The sequence below is a fragment of the Homo sapiens genome, chromosome 15 (assembly GCF_000001405.40).
Source record: "Homo sapiens chromosome 15, GRCh38.p14 Primary Assembly".
Lineage (NCBI taxonomy): Eukaryota > Metazoa > Chordata > Mammalia > Primates > Hominidae > Homo > Homo sapiens.
Window position 1 is genome coordinate 39012105 of NC_000015.10, and position 17191 is coordinate 39029295.

At 39.7% G+C, this 17191-nt stretch overlaps 2 long non-coding RNA genes and 1 pseudogene across 4 annotated transcripts in view; 2 read left to right on the plus strand and 1 right to left on the minus strand.

Annotated features, from left to right (window-relative positions):
- The window catches only part of LOC105370777 (uncharacterized), a 556255-nt gene that overhangs the window by 147299 nt on the left and 391765 nt on the right, over positions 1-17191 (minus strand). The gene's annotated exons all lie outside the window — the stretch shown is intronic.
- Positions 3707-3797, plus strand: LOC124903603 (uncharacterized; annotated as a pseudogene).
- On the plus strand, positions 7132-14417 carry LOC105370781 (uncharacterized). Its single transcript, NR_188221.1, has 3 exons — positions 7132-7220; positions 12109-12255; positions 12539-14417. It is a non-coding gene; the product is annotated as an uncharacterized LOC105370781 (long non-coding RNA).

Below are 17191 nucleotides of genomic sequence, written 5' to 3' on the forward strand. Positions count from 1 at the left end.
AGATGTATTTTTAAAATAAACTATGTAAAAGTATAACACACAAGAAAATGCATACATTGTAAATTCACAATTCGATTACAAATACCACCAATAATCAAGACCCAGAAAATTCTCGTGAATCCAGAAAAGCTCTTTTGGTTCTTTTGCAGTCAATTATCCCCAACCACAGCTCATACTAATAGACAAAATAAGGGGAAAACATAAATTAATCTCAATATATATTTTCAAATAATTTGACAAAATGTAATGCTCTTTTTGAATAAAATTCTTACCAAACTAGAGAGAGAAGGAAATGTCCTCAACTTAATAAAGGGCATCTGTAGAAAATCTAGAGCTAGCATTACACTTAATGGTGTAAGACTGAATACTTTCCCTATATGATCAGGAAACAGTCAAGGGTGTTTATTCTCACCACTTTCGTTCACTATTGTATTGGCAGCTCTGGCCAGCATAACAAGGCAAAAAAGAAGACTTAAAATGCAAATAAATTGAAAACTAATAAACAAAATGATCGTAATTTGCAGACATCATGATTATTTCTGTAGAAAATACTTTGGAATCTATAGAAATAGCTTCTAGAACTAATAATTGGGTTTAGGAAGTCAGCAAGATAAAGATAAATCTATAGAAATAAATATTCCTCCATACTATTCAAAATCAGAAATTAAAATTTAATTGGTAAACATGTTGTCATTAAACAGTATATAGAAGTATTGAAACTACTGCTTAAAGCTAGTGGAGCCTCGGTTTCACGGGCTCAATTAAGGGACCTAATGCAAACTGTTGTATTCCATAACCCATGGTTCCCAGAAGAAGGTACGCTAGATGTAGAGCTCTGGGAACAAGTGGGGAGACATCTTAAACAACATCATGCACAAGGGCAATGGGTCCCAGTATCATCTCTAACGCTATGGACTTTAGTTAGGGCGGCCCAGGTCCCGTTATACACCCAAGAGCCTAAAAAGGGGAAGGAGGAAGAACCGTCACCTACCTTCCCGCCTCCATCTCCCTCAGCCCCATTGTTTCCAGGCAAAAATAACAAAGAAGAAATGGAGGTTTTGCCTGAGCCCCCTCCTCCAATAAATTGGATAAAAGACAAGGGATACACTACAGCTATGGGACCCTGTCTTAGGCAAGCGGCATTAGAAGGGGAGCTCTTAGCCTGCCTGGTAATGCAAGATCAACAGGCAATCAGGTATATAAACCCATTTCTTTTGATGCTTATAAGAAGATTTTTAAAAAGGCATTAGAGGCCGGAGCCACGCAGCCAAGTGGGCTATGGGCGGAAGAAAAGGCTCAGGGGCAGGGAAGCTCACAGTGCCTGGGCCCACAGGGTCTGGCCGGCCGGCAGCAGCCACCTGGCGGCAGTGGGAGAGAATGGCGCAGACAGAAAGTCGCGCCTAAGCGAGCACAATGCAGCTGCCACCCTGGGACCCACACCGCTGTGCTCTGCAGGTGGCCCACAGCAAAATTTCATGTGTTCCTTGTATACAAGTGACGTCCCAGATTATAATTCTCTGCTAAAATTTAAGTAAAATTTAAGAATTTGAAAAACCCTTTTCTAATAATGGCCACTGTTATTTCTCCCTTACCCCTAAGGTGACTCTCTTCAAGTCCAATTTAAGTAAAACAGTAACCTCTGAAGGGAGAGAAATTAAAGAGCCCATGAATTAGTTGAGGAGCAATTAAAAGCCGGCCATATAGAACCATCAAACAGCCCTTGGAATTAGCTCATTTGTGTCATTCCCAAAAAGTCTGGTAAATGGAGAGTTTTGCATGACTTACGTGCTATTCATGCTAATTTGCAACCTATGGGGCCCCTTCAACAGGGCCTTCTATCCGCGGCGGCGATTCCTCGAGATGGCCTATAATCGTTATTGACTTAAAAGACTGTTTTTATACTATTCCCACAGCAGAACAGGACAGAAAAAAATTTGCCTTTACGATACCAGCTATCAATAATGAGAGGCCACCTTGCTGATTTAATTGGAAAGTGCTTCCTCGGGGGATGCTAAACAGTCCTACCATGTGTCAGTATTATGTAAAGCAAGCTTTGCTCCCCAGTGGAAAAGAATTTCCTGACTGCAAGATTATTCATTTTATGGATGATATTTTATTAGCAGCCCCAAAGGTGACAGTACTTGTAAACTTATATACCTCTGTCGTAAAGAATACATACCTAAGAGGTTTAATCACAGCATCTGAAAAAGTACAGATGTCTTCTCTTTGGAAATAACTTGGGTACATACTAACTTCCCAGTCAGTAAGAACTCAAAAGGTTAAATTAAATACTAGCAACTTATGCACCTTAAATGATTATCAAAAATTATTGGGTGATATTAACTGGCTTTGCCCCATCTTGGGCATATCTACTGATAAGTTGCAAGAAGTTGCAAAACCTGTTTTCTATCTTAAAGGGCAATATAGCCCTGGATTCTCCCAGGTATTTGACCACTGCAGCAAAAAGGGAAATTGAAGACATAGAGCAAGCTATTTCCCAAAGGCAAATGGATTGCATGGACACTCAATATTCTGTCCAGTTGTTTATTTTCCCCACTAAACATTCCCCTGCAGGGTTAATAGGACAGATGAGCCCAGGACTGCACTTTTTAGAATGGGTTTCTTGCTCACATACTGGGACTAAAACACTCTCTCCCTATATCCAGCTACTTAGTAAAGTCATCTATTCAGGCTGCAGATGATGTAATCAGTTGCTAGGTTATGACCCTGATGTCATAAGAATTCCTTTGAGTCAAAGGCAATTTGAAGCAGTATTGCCCCTCTCTTTAGATCTTCAGATACCACTCACTGATGACACAGGCCATTTAGAACATACCCTCCCTACTGACAAACTGCTTCAGTTCTTATCTCGTACTCCTGTAATTATGCCTACAAAAGTAGTTCCCTCCCCCATACCTAATGCTTTAACACTGTTTACTGATGCTCAGGTAAACATGGAAAAGTGGTAGTCTGGTGGAGACCATGTAATTCCCTCACTTGTTCTGGGTTTACTAGCAATCAAAGAGCAGAGGTTGGAGCCTTAATACTGGCTTTGGAGACTTTTTCTGCTCAGCCCATCAATATTGTTAGTGACTCTGCTTACTCCATTTGTTTGTTTGTTTTTTTATTTATTTATTTTGAGACAGAGTCTCACTCTATTGCCCAGGCTGGAGTGCAGTGGCGTGATCTCTGCTCACTGCAACCTCTGCTACCCAGGTTCAAGGATTCTCCTGCCTCAGCCTCCTGAGTAGCTGGGATTACAGGCACCTGCCACCGCACCCTGCTAGTTTTGTATTTTTAGTAGAGATGGAGTTTCACCATCTTGGCCAGGCTGGTCTTGAACTCCTGACCTCGTGATCCACCCACCTCTGCCTCCCAAAGTGCTGGCCTTACAGGCGTGAGCCACCAAGCCCGGCCTTACTCTGTTTATTTATTGCAGAACCTTGAGACCGCACTAATTAAGTCCACTCTGGAGCCAGCCCCACGTGCTCTTTTCCTCTGACGTCAGCAATTGCTAGATCAATGTACACATCCTATTTTTATCACACATATTTGAGCCCACAGCTCACTGCCTGGCCCCTTGGCTTACGGCAATGATCAAGCAGACCTTTGGGTTATGACATCACTGCTTGACCAAGCCACCCAATTGCATCAATTTTTCCACCAAAATTGGAGAAACTTAACTATAACAATTTCAACTTACCCAAAGACTATACTTTCAGGGATCATTTCTATAGTTTGTTTCTAGAGAAGTTTCTCCGAATGTGTAGAGCACTGCTTAATCTTTTAAATTTAGATGATAAATTTCAATCAGCTGTCACAAAAGCACTTTGCTAAAACCTCTCAAGACATAAAACCTGCAGTTTTATGGAAAGGTGTAAACACTAATGAATGGTGTGGTCCAAATGATTTGCTAACATGGAGAAGAGGATATGCTTTTGTTCATACCCCCTCAGGTCCTCTTTGGATTCCAGCACAATGCATCAAACCATATTATGGTATGGCTAGGACCCAACCCAGTACCAGAAATGAAGAAAATGACCCTATAGGACCCGCAGCCCCAGACAATGCGGCTTCTGTGGATGACACAGGACCCAGACAGAATGCTGAAGAAGACAACTCAGAAGGCTAAGCAAATCCTGCTTTAAACACACCATTCGCTCCAAATAATTTATTCCTTTTTTATTCTCTCGTTCTGCTTACAACTGGTACCTGCTACACTCTTTTGGACTTATCTCTTAAATCCGCGTTTCTTCTGCCCTGTTACTTTGACAAACACCCCCTTCCCAGCTTCTAACAACACAACTGCTTAACGGAGAGGGATTAACATACCCTCAATGGGGTTCCTTAGTCACAGCACACATCAAACTAAATTGCCAAGTAACACTACAAGTCACTCCTTGATTGGAAAAGAAAGTTGCAAATTATACTCATGTTTGTCTTATGTTATTTACCAATTCTAGGATGCAAAGCCAGAATACGAGCAGTGACCACCATGCCTGACAGACCTGCTGCTGCACACATCTGTACTCTCCAACAAAACCTGATGCTAAAAACAAAAGGGAGAGATGTAGGAGTTCAGTCATGGCGGTGGGAAAAATTGTAAGAGGAAATTATAGGAAAGAGAAGCAAACCTTCTTGGAAGGCAGGAAGGTTTTGTAAAAGCCTTGGAAGAGAGTTATGGCTGAAAACAGCCTTATCCTCTTCCCGTGAGCTGATAGCTTAGAGTAGGTATAAAGGAATGTAAGGGAGTTTATCTAAAGAGCTTGTTGACTCCTGTGGTCCGAAGACCAATCATTTGTAGGACTGCTCTCTCTGGGGAAGGCAACCACATTAATTAATTATCCACAAGTGTGTTGACTCAAAGCCTTTGTTATTAAATCTGTGCTGAATAAATGCCCACAGGGCCAGCTAGTCAGGTTATATGGCTGCTACAACTCTTTCTGTGAGTGGCCTGGTTCCCTAGCCACTCTTTCACTTTATATCGGTGTCTGAGTATGTTATTCATCCACCGTGCAGCCTGGGTCTGCAGGTCAGACCCCAGCATTTACTCAAAAAAATTTTATGTACCTTTTTTTTCAACTCCTTTCAGAAAACAATCTTGCATGTGTTGGTTGTTTGATATTGTCCCACAGGTCACTGAGTCTCTTTATTTTTTTCTTCTTTTCCTTCCTGTGCTTCAATTTAGTTTCTATTGCTGTGTCTTCATTTTTACTGATGTTTCCTTCTGCAGTATCAATTTACTATTAACCGTATTCAGAAAAATTTTATTTCAGATATTGTATTTTTATCTCTGGAAGTATTCTTATTCATTTATTATGATTATCACTATCTTGTCCTTTAGGAAATATTGATTACATTTATAATAGTTGATTTAAAATTATTCTCTTATAATTCCATTATCTCTGTCACTTCTGATTCTGCTTATTTTCTTCTGTTTTGAGGTAATATAGTGTTTCTTTGCTTGTCTAGTGAATTTTTATTAAATATATTATGAATGTTATAATAATGGGTGTTAATTATTATTTTTCTCTAAGGAGGGCTTAAGTTTGTCTTGTTAGGCAATTAAGTTACTTGCAAATCATATTAATGTATTCAAAACTTATTTTTAAGCTTTGTTAGGGTTGTCCAAAGTAGCCCTAACTCTAGGGCTAATTAAGCGAAACTACCAACACATGATTCTCTAGGTTCTTTACCGACTTCCTTGAGGCTCAGTGGGGTTTCTCAGCTCTGGCTGGAAGGGATTTGAGTATCTCTTAACCTTGCTTAAACTCTAGGAGTTGTGCAGGTTACAGTTCCCGGAGTATTTTTCCTGAGCAGTTACTATTTGTGCAGCTTTGTGGAGTTTTGTTGTATCCATGCATAGTTAAGGGGGCCTTTATGCATATTTCTCTACAGAAATTGTTACTCTCCAATAATTTGCCCTGCAAATTCTGGCTGTCTCATCCTCCCACAAGTTCAATATTTGTCTTTTCAGCTTAGCAACATTTCTTTTGCATTTCTTGGGATCTTCCTCCCTTTGCCATCTTCCAGAAATTGTCTATAGGCAGAAAGCAAGGGCAATAGTAGGCTTCACCTCTGTTTTCCTTTTCTCAGTGATCACAGTCCCACTCTGCCTGTTCTCTCAATGTCTGAAAGATTTGTTTTATGTATTTTGCCTAAGTTTCTAGTTATTTGTGCTAAGTAGGCTGGTTTTGTACCAGAAGCAGAAATCAACTAAAGATGAATTTTAGGGAAGAGTTCTGGAATATGCCTCATTGGCCAGAACTGAAGCTATCTATACCTACAAAGGAGACTGGAAATGCAGCTTCTTCTGGGAAAATAAAACAAAGGAGAGCAGATTTTGTGAAAGAGTGAGCATTATATACCATCATTGGATAGTTGTTAGCTCACTTACCAGCGTAGCAACTTCTTGAGTGGAGGGTCAGAGCTTTCCTCATTTCAGTAGCCTATGAAGAGCCTGGTGCTCATGACGTTCTTAGGAAAAAAACATTGAAAAGAACATGATCCTGAGTACTGAACTCATAATTAGGCATGAAGAAAGGAGACAATGTATGGTGGGTGAAAGTGGCAGAGAGAGTTGGAGACAAGGTTGGAAATTATCTTGGAGCTCCAAATGCATTGGCTCATAGATTATTTTAAAACTCTGTTGAGGAATCCGGGACTACAGAGCCCTGTTGTTCCCCTCACCTCCAATGTCCTTTTCCAGACACCCATGTCATGTGTTTTAAAGCTCAGATCATAGATCATAAGCGAGCTACTAGATGGAGCCTTCTCTGATGTCCTACTTGTGGCACAGTTTTTCTACAGCATGGTTTCTGTCAAGTTTTCAAAGCATATAATGATTCATACTGCTGATTTCTACCCTCAAGAAAGTGGAATCTATTCGGAATTTCAAAATAAAAACAAAGTTGTCTTTTATTTCTGTTACTTTTTTACTTCCGTCACAATGCCTGCCACCGTGAACACAAAGCATATTAAATAAGATCACTGTTCCTTGACCTGGTGTCAAGCAGCTGTTTGGAAGTTGTTTGTGTGTCAGTTGAGACATAATAATAGAATAAGCATCCTGACATCACTTGCCCTCTGACCACCAGTAGTGATAGGGCTTGCTTTACTCAAGGAGGAAGTCCTTAACAACTCGATCTACCCAGGCAAACACAACAATCATTCAGCTTTTTGTTTCATTTTTTCCTTAACCTATCACCATGAAACAAAATGTAAGTATTGCCTATCTCTTCTATTTAAATAAGGGCTGAGATTTTTGTTCTGTGTCTTCACTGCTATATTCCTAGCACATCAACATTTGCCAAGGGAAAGAACAGGAGATGGAAACAAAGGAAGTTAAATGAGCGGAACACCAAGGAAGAAACTGAGATGGGGTCTGAAAGTGTGGTGGGACATTGGCTACCCTTGAAATTGCGAAGGGTCTTATACTTGATAATGACAGGATTTGGGAAGCTCTCTTAGGGCCATGTAAAAGAAAGGGCTAAATATAAAAGGGTGAGTGAAGGGGAGTTTTTCCTCTATTCCACTTGTACAATTCAGCCAATTCATACTCTGAGATTGTAGGAGAATCTTTCACTAGTCAAAATAGAAAATGACCAAATCACAGAAAATATTACGAAGACAAGAATGAATTTGTAATTAAAAATTAAAACAAGAAAACAGAAATGCCAGCTGTAATTTTTATGCAGTTTCCAATCAATGCATGTCCTTGTCTTTTATACATAAAGTGAATTTCTAGTTGCCACGAGTCCTATAAAAACAATACCTTTAACAACCAGTTCCTGCCCCTGTTTTTTCCTGTCTTCTGATTTGAAAATGGGTGTTTTATTTTCTTCTTTTCACATTTAGTCTGGGATCCCTTCTTCATTCCTTGGCTTTTTATTTTTCTCCAAGGGGCTTATTATTGCAAAGTTAAGAAGCCATAAGCAAGGGGAGTTTGTGAGGCCAACTGTAGCAGAGGCACAGCTCTCATCTTACCATCGTAACCACTCTGAATTGCTGGGTGGCACCAGAAAGCTCACTGGCACCTTGGCATATGGCAGGGAGAACCTGGTAATTTGGGTAGATTAAAAGTGGGTATGGAATTGCCATTAAGCTATCATCCAGGTCTTGTGTGTGTGTCTGTGGTGTGAAGGGGGCAGGAAAGGGGAAGGAAATAAGAGAAAGGGAGAGAAGAGGATAGGAGAGTATTAAACAAATCCTAGACTCTGCTACCTTCATGTTTTGATTATGAATGTGTAGAGGTCAGTGCTTCAACTCTATGGACTTTATCTTTCCACAGATCTCAATATTTTGTTAATAGCTCTTTTGCTGGAGTCCGCCAAGCTGACTGTTTAACTGGCTTTGCCTTCCCTATTTCTTTATCTAAGGAATACTCCATCAGAAATGCTGAGATTCACATTCCACAATATGTGCTGCTTTTAAATAACCATATGCAAGTAAAATAATAGGCAAAAGAGAAATGAAGACTGGGGTCAGGAAGGTTTCTCCCAACACTATCCTCAGATTTAGGTTCATATCAGGTACCAAATCTTGCAGCCAGATCTCAGGACAAGTGAACTCATTTACCCATCCGAATGTCGCCTGTGAATTCAAAAGCTAGAATTTATAGAGTCTAGTGAGCTGAAAATTATAGGGCACTTTGCTACATAGGAAGCCTAGTTTCATATTTATTTTGAGATTTGGGATTTCAAGTTTAGTTAAGAATGAAAGATTCTTTACAAGGACCTAGTGATTTGTTCTTCTCAAGCCCTTGATAACAAACTTTTGGTTGCTAAACCCACCAATCTTTTAAGACTTAGATGTAGAAACCCATGAACCAGGCAGATGGGGTGTTAGCAACAACATCCATTCACCCAGCTCCTCCCCAGAAGTAGAGGCAGGAATATCTCCTCTTTGCAAGGCATACATCCACTCCCAAAGCAAAGAACCCTAGATTGCATAAAGCTCCAACTCAATGGCCCTCCTTTTACCTGCCTCATCTCTCTGGGATAGGGCAGAGAAGGAGCACTCTTTCCTTGTCCCTTCTGACCTTAGCTATGGAACCTCTGCTGTCTTTTCCTGACATTCTCCTTCTTCTATCTGTATCCCTTACTGCATTTTTGCACTGCAGTTCAGTGGCTCCATTGTGCCCGCAATAACACATCCACTTCTTTCAATCGCTTGTCTTGCACTGGAAAAGAGGAAAAGGTTCCATCTAATCTGGGCTAGGTTATAAAAACATTTTAGCACTAAAAATAAATTATCTAAATGTGTTGGGATACATTCCACCTCGTAGTTAAATACTAAGGATGGCATGATGTGGATGTAAAATGTGCATGGTCAGGGAGGTTAAGAAAATAACCTCAAAGGACAGGGCCACAGGAAAGAGGAAGGTGATGGTTACCATAAATGGGTCTGTGGCTCTGTGTGACACCTGCTGTGCTATGCCATCAATGTGCAGCTCCACGACAAATGAGATCCTTCAGCCAGGCTTGTGTAAAGCATGCTCTCTGGATACAACAGGACATGTCACTTGTAATAACAAACCCAAGCCTCAGTATCCATCCACATTTGCAAAATGAAAATGACTATCCTTTTCTTTCTCCTCTTCCTCTGCTGCTCTTCTGCTTTTTGTTAGAGCTATTTCTGCACTGTTTGCTTCATGGGTTACTGAACAGATCAAGAACTGATAGTGATGATAATAGTGGCAACAGCTGTCATTTATTATGTGCCTTCCATGTGCTAGATACTAATATTTCCACTTCAATCCTCAAACAACCTTAGGATAAGAGATCATCATTTTCTCCATTTTTGCATAAGGAAACTGAGAATGAGAAAGGTTAAGAAACAACCAAGGAAATAAAGCTAGCAGTGGTGAGCATCTCTGAAGGCCCTTCCTTCTCTAAATTACATTGTCTTTTAATCTGTAAAGCATAGTAGGTTTGGTAATGGTTACTGAAGACTTTTGCAACTATCATCCTGCAGTTGTAAATTCTCTTCGATGTTCTAAGAAATATGTGCCAGAATATTTGGCAAAAGGCACCTAACATGTTAGAGGTGTAACACCTCCTATGACAGGACAATGGGTGCCTTTGACAGGGATCTGTGGATTTCTTCTTTTGGCTCACTTGACTTCCAAATTTGCAGTGGGATTGAAGGAGAAAAGAGGGTCCTGAATAATAATTGTCAATTGTCCTACACTAACACTTTCTAGTCATGCCATCTCTCTGATGGAAACTGTTTTGCTCAAATAGTATTATATAAAGTTTATATACATATAGCACTTCAAAGTTCACAAAGGTATTTCATATAAATGTCTCCATTTAAAAATCTATCCAATTTGTAAGATAAGTATTCTTCCCATTCTACAAATGAGAAAACTAATTTGTTCTAGGGCAATAAGTTGTATCCCAAAAGTCTGTAAATGTTTCCCAATTAGAAAGATCTCCCGTAATTAGGGTGGCTCATTATTATAATTAGGGTGCCCCAGTTTGGCTGGTTCTACCTAAGCAATTCACTCTCAAAAGTGTCCTAGTTTGAGGGATAAATGATATGGTCAGCCTGCCCAAAAGCACAGAATTAAATGCAGAATTTCACTTGTAACATGAGGAGTGACACATTGGGCCATCAGGGACACAGCTGTGCCTGTCTTGCATAAGAGTGATTCCTTAAGTAAGGTACTTATTTGGGGCATCAATACATTTTTTTTCACTCTCTCCACTTGGATAAGTGAAAGCTTCTCTCTTGTTCAACCACAGTGTTTGATCCCAAGCGCATTAGAATCACCTGGTGAGCCTTGTAAACTCAGATTTCTTCTGTCCCATCTAGGGTCAATTAAACTAGAATTTCTGAGGGTGGATGGTAGGAATGATATTTTTCAAAAGCTCTCCAGACAGAGCTTTTGACATTCCAGCCAGAAGTGATGACTGGCTGCTTATAAATAAACACTAGGTGATAATGGTGCAGTATATTAGACCCATGGAAAGGGCATTGCAAAGGAGAGATCATATTTGGTGTGGGGAATGTTGCCAAGGAAGCTGATATATTTTGAGATGGCTCACGGACAGTATGATGGCTCCACAGAGTGGAGGGGTAATATATTGGTGGCTGCCTGCTCTAAATTTTGAAACTCCTGTGTTTATCTTGACTTAATGAAGTGTGCTATTGTTTAAAATATTCTGTGTTCTATGGAAGCGATATTGAGTCTGGTCTCCCATTCCAATATTTTTGTTCTCTGTAACTTTATTTGGATCTGTTGCAACTTCTTGCTCTGTGTGTGTATGTGCCTGTGTGCATGTTGCGTCAGGGAGTTACAATGAGGGTATACTTAGAATTGTTGGCTAAAAAGGTTGTGTATAAAAATAAAGGTTGTGTATCTGTGAGCATCATGTTTTCTAAGAGATAAAACCCTTTATTGTGTTACTTTTTCAGAATATGCTTTCTGAGAAAGTAGAAAAGAAGTATCTCATTTTGCAGAGAAAGACCTGGACTCACAGAAATGTGAGGTGGTCAGCTGAGCGCCATGCCATGAATCAATACAGCCCCTGAATTAGTGGTGAAGATTTCTAATCATTGATATAATGCTCTGTGAAAATACAGGCATGGTGAAAAAGAAGTTTCACTGTTTTTCCAATTTATGAAAGTGCTTTTAGAGTATCATTAAATCTACTTTATGGTTATTTATTGCAATACATGTTTATTTTCCTTTGAAATGCACTTAATCATACCCTAATCTCCTTGCTATAATTTTTCCATGGAAAGAAAATAACGTTTCAGTTAATGTAATTTCAATATGCTGGGATCTCAGTCTCCTGTTTCAGGTGCCTCGGGATGCAGGAGACCAGGCCAGGGACTTGTTCCTTCCTGGGTACAGATCACCACAGTTTAGAATTGTCAAATTCTTTGCTGAAAACTCCAAGTAACTTAAATTCTTTCCCTTAGGTTTTTTTTTTTTTTCTGGGCAAATGCTTTTTAGTCAATCCTAGGATTCTATTCTAAGAGGTCGTTTCTCAAGTTTCCTTAAGCTGTAACCCTCTCCAAACCCCAATTTTAACTCTAGTTCTTCAATCTCTCATCCCTCTTCCATGATGATTTGCCATCTTTTTCTCTGGGGAGAAGACACACATATAGAAATGAGCAAAGAGCTTTAAATACTAGCTGCCCAAGAGATGCTTAGCCTCCTGTTCCAGCCACTGGAGTTGAGGGGTGGAGGCACGTGATGTCACGGAAAGGGAATGCTCGCTAGTCTTCAAGCAGTCCCCTAAGGTAAGGCTGGAGGAAGGAGGTGGTGAAGAGGGCTCCTGAGTTCCTTCATTTGACGGCGCTGATCATACAGGTACAGGTGGAACAGTAAGCTCAGAGCCATTCCTTAGACCTAGAGACTGGCCTTTTCACCTATATAAAATAATACTGTGTAATATTATTTCAAGTAGAGGTAGGAAAATAACCCTTAGGATTTAGTACCCTCGGCCTGGTGGGCGAGCAGAAATAAAAGTTAATTCCAAACAAAGACTTTAACTACCACAATTCTGCCCATGTTTCCCTCCAGGGATCTTTGATCTCAGGCTGAATGGAGGAAGAAGAGCTTTTCTAGTTGACGCCTGTCACAGAGATCTGATGAAGTCAATGTAAATGAGTCCGCAGAAGCTTGATAGCCTATAGAAGTCCTTGAAAATCCCGAATGGCACGAGAAGGTTGAAAACTAGTCAAGATGCTGATATCTTCAAGAAGTTAAATATAACCTAAAAAAATTATTTGTCACAGAATAAGGTTGGTTTAAAAAATTGTAAAGGGGAGGAGAGTGGAGATTCAAGCCTAGAGAGGAAGGCTGAATAAGAAGAAAGTAATTGTGAAGTCAACTGTAAAATATTTCCTGGGTCTCACCTGGTAAATCCACACGGGCTTCCTGAAAGAGGAAGGCTAGAGTTACTTTTGAGTTGCCTTTCAAATGATAAGCAGGGTCCTTGAGTAAACAGGAAATGAAAGACTCGAGAGAGTAGCTGAGGAAGGATGCAGAAGTGAAAAGGAGAGGGGAGCCATCAGCACCCCAGATTTAATTTGATGGAGAATTTTCTCTATTTGTTTATGTGTGTGCCCGTCTTTATTAGACTGTCTGTTTGCCTTTCAAGGGCTGGGACTGTGCCTCATTCACCTTCATATTCTAGTATAATGCAAGCTTAGGAAATTATTGTCTAAATACATACACTCAGACATAAATGGATGAGAGTAAGAATAAAGGCATAAGTGGTGGTATTTAGCAGCAGCCTTGGCTGTGAGCTTAAGACTGTTTTTTGTGACCTGCCATCTTCCTTTGCGCAACAACACAGCTCATGATGATGTTCCAGAGCATTTTGCCACCAGAAAATGAGGCTTGCTTTTGGTCTTTTGAAGGAAGACTGCAGTGAACAGTTAAATTGACTTTAAATTTAGCAGCATTGGGCAAGAATAGAAATGTTCTAATCCTGTCTCCTCCTACGGAATGTGAATTGTGGTCAAAGTAATATGTTTTTGCCTTCTGTGATTTCGATCAAATTTCATAGGCCAGACAGGGCGTAGGGAGCCAGGCTGCACAGCCACTCTCCCTGGTAAACAGTGTCACACCTCCCTTGGACAGCCCAGGGTACCATGTGTGCCCTGGCGTTACAGACACCTCACCAGGGCTTGTCTGTTCTCCCTGCCTTGTTTCTCAGCCCAGTGTTCATGTGGAGTTTGGCTTCCTCTTCTTAGAACTGGGAAAGGCAACGCTGTGCAGGTGTGAGAGGTACATACACATGCGCCCAGAAGATGCTGCCCCAGAAAAACATACCCAGGGCCTGTATTTGACTCAGAGTTTAAGGTCTTACTTTTCATTAGAAAATAAGATCACTAGCTCTAAAATTTCCACTGGGGAAGACTGGGTTGGCTTAGCAGGGCAGTGCTATCTGATGGGCAGCTGTATTCTATAAAGTAGATGAGGGAAGATGACAGAATGGCATGTCTGTGGGCAGAAAGCAGAAGGGAAATTGGCTTCCCTTCATAGGCCACTAAGGAAAGGGTTATCCAGTGGCCTGCTGGATTTGACACTATCTGCCTGCCACATCTGAGCTCAGCATTTTTGCTTTGACACGCATGGGTCATTCTACCCATTGAGCTTCAGCAATTCCCTATTACAGATGCTTATTGGCAACAGAATCTTAAGTCCAATAAAGGAGCAAAGAGATTTTACTTTGGAAGGAAATACTATGGATTCTTCAGTCATTCAGAGGCCTCACCTCCTCCCTTAATGAGTGCTCCCAATGTAAAGGTATAATGACTGGCTAACTAAATGCTTTGGGGGTATAGGAATGAGGACACACATCTAGAAAAGTGGATTTTAGAAGAAGAAAAGACAGTATAATGAAAACAAGTTTAAGAAAGAGCAAAAATAAAATTTGACTTATGTATATCAATTGTGATGAACTGTAATTATGCATTACATGGAACAAGTCTACACAATCAGATAAGAATTCTTCACTAATTTCCTCTTTATTTGTCTATGTCATAATCCACACTAGGGAAGAAACAACCTCTACTTTTTAAAAGTCACAAATATTAAGCCTATAAAAATATCAATATCTTATCAAAGTTTAGCTCAAATTTATACAGGAAAACAAAGGTTCATTCCAACCCACCTAGCTTCTTCTGATGGTTTATTAAGTAGTATTTAAGAAAATTGAGTCTCATATTATCTGGCCAAAAGATATTTTTCTTGCCTCTGTATTATTAAACAACACTTACTGAGACTATTCATCAGATGTCCAGATTAATCTTGACGGTGAAGAATACATGAACTCTATATGCAATCTTAAAAAGGAGTAATATAATATGCTAGTTTTCTCTTTCGTGTCCATTCCTCAAAACTTGATTATTATTAGGTTAGGCTCATCCTTTACTAATTACCTTTAGTTAAGATTTCTTAGTTTGCAAAAATTATTGAATTTATATTGACTTAACTGAATGAGCATTTGAAAACTGTCTCTCATAGTTCATCATGAGTACTGAATTGTTCCTCCTCTTTTTCTTTAAGTTTCTTCTCTTTACTACATATTTTTCCCCAACCAGTTATTTTTGTTGTTGTTATTTGCTTCTTAAAAATTCTGTGAGGCTTATTTTTAGAATATTTTATAAATCTGGCTATGTCTAAGAATGGCAAACTATGATAATTGATGTACTTAATATTTGCTAACACATGTCTATTCCACTGTCAATGAAAAGACTGTGCTTGCTTTGATCAAGAATTAGCCAAAATTTGGAACTCTCAGAAAGCTATTTATTTATTCCAGAACAAAGCATTTGGTTTGTACTACCATCAAAATATTCTAAGTGGCTAGTTACACTGGTAAAAAAAATAAGATATCTCTTTTGTTCAGGCCTTCAGAATTTTAACATCATACAAAATCAATAAAGCTCTTAAATGTAAATCTATGAAGATGAGACACACTGATTTCTTGGCTATTGTTTACTGAGGTGATTAAAAAAAGCCTTGCAGCCCAAACAGAATTTTATTTTCTCTGTCAATAAGAACAATATACTTCCATGGATAAGTATGTCATCTATGGAAGCATTTCAGATGTCTGTGTTGCAGATGCAGAAGTTATCTCTTGGGATTTCCCTGCACCACATCACATACTAGACTATCCATTGTAGGAAAAGATGGTTGGGTCGATTATAGGAGTTGTCCTTGGAATCAATTCCAAGCGCTCCAGAAACTTACATCTATAGGTCTGACTTAATGTAATTCATAATTGTCCCATGTTATAGGTCTGACCTAATGTAATCCATAATTGTCCCATGTTATTTTTTAAAATGTGGCTGATATAGATCTCCTAGAAAAAGGTCACATAATTAGAATTATTTCAGTATTTAATTTACAGGGAAATTCGGGGGTTCAAAGTAGTCAGGAGATGCTTTAAGTGAAAGACGTTGCCTAAGGCCGTTCTAGTAAGTATGATAACGGTTTGTAAAATCACCATCAGCTACATCGTCATTTGAAAACAGATTTAAGAAATATATATATACTCAAAGCACTGCACTAAAGGAAAACAGACCAAGACTAGTAATATTAATCCACTGTCATCCAGTTGGCTGGCCTACCTGCTACAGAAGCTGAGGCTCAGCTGGCCTGCCAATGGGCTTGAGCCCGTGGGGATCTGTGACTGTACCATGACTCACTGACCCTGCAAAAGCCAAACTGGCTCCGTTGTCTTTGTCCAGAGTCCTCATTTCAAGGCCTTGGCCTCTCTTGCCTCTTTACCAAGGTAAAAGGCAGCAATAAGTATGAAGAGTCAGACAAAAAAAAAAACACCAAGCTATAACCATCCATTTAATATCAAAATTAAACAAAGACTCATTAAAAATTTCAGTATTTAAGCAATTTGGGGAAAAATTGGCAGAAGAAGGTACATGAGCAAAGAAAGGTGTTTTCAAATAGAAGTTACAGAGCTTATTTTAATATGACCTCAATGATCTTCACATAATTTAACAGGAAATTTTATTCTAATTAGTTTGATTGAGCTCTATTTTTTAACAGTTTCTTAAAACTGAGAATTAATGAGCAAGAAAATAAAGTCTGCTCAAGTCTTTGGAACTTAGGCAATTCTTTCTTTCAAACTAGAGGGAAAGAATTGTTGAGAACAATATAAATCAGCATTTGGGGGATCTTTCGTCTTCCTGTGTTCCTTTATGATGGATGTCTCTAACCCCCAGGCCCTACCGGTCTGTGGCCTGTTAGGAACCGGGCTGCACAGCAGCAGGGAGCAACAGGGCAGGCATGTCAGCGAACCTTCATCTGTATTTACAGCCACCCCACATCACTCACCTTACTGCCTGAGCTCTGCCTCTTGTCAGGTCAGTGGTAGCATTAGAGTCTTATAGGAGCATAAACCCTGTTGTGAACTGTGCGTGCGAGGGATCTGTCACGATCATCACCCCTAGATGGGACCATCTAGTTGCAGGAAACCAAGCTCAGGGCTCCCACTGATCCTACATTATGGTGAGTTGTATAATTATTTCATCATTATATATTACAATGTAATAATAATAGAAATAAAGTGTACAATTAATGTGCTTGAATCATCCTGAAACCATCCCTGGCTGCCCTGGTGTGTGGAAAAATTGTCTTCTGCAAAACTGGTCTCTGGTGCCAAAAAGTTTTGGGACCACTGCTTTATAAGACCTTTTACTT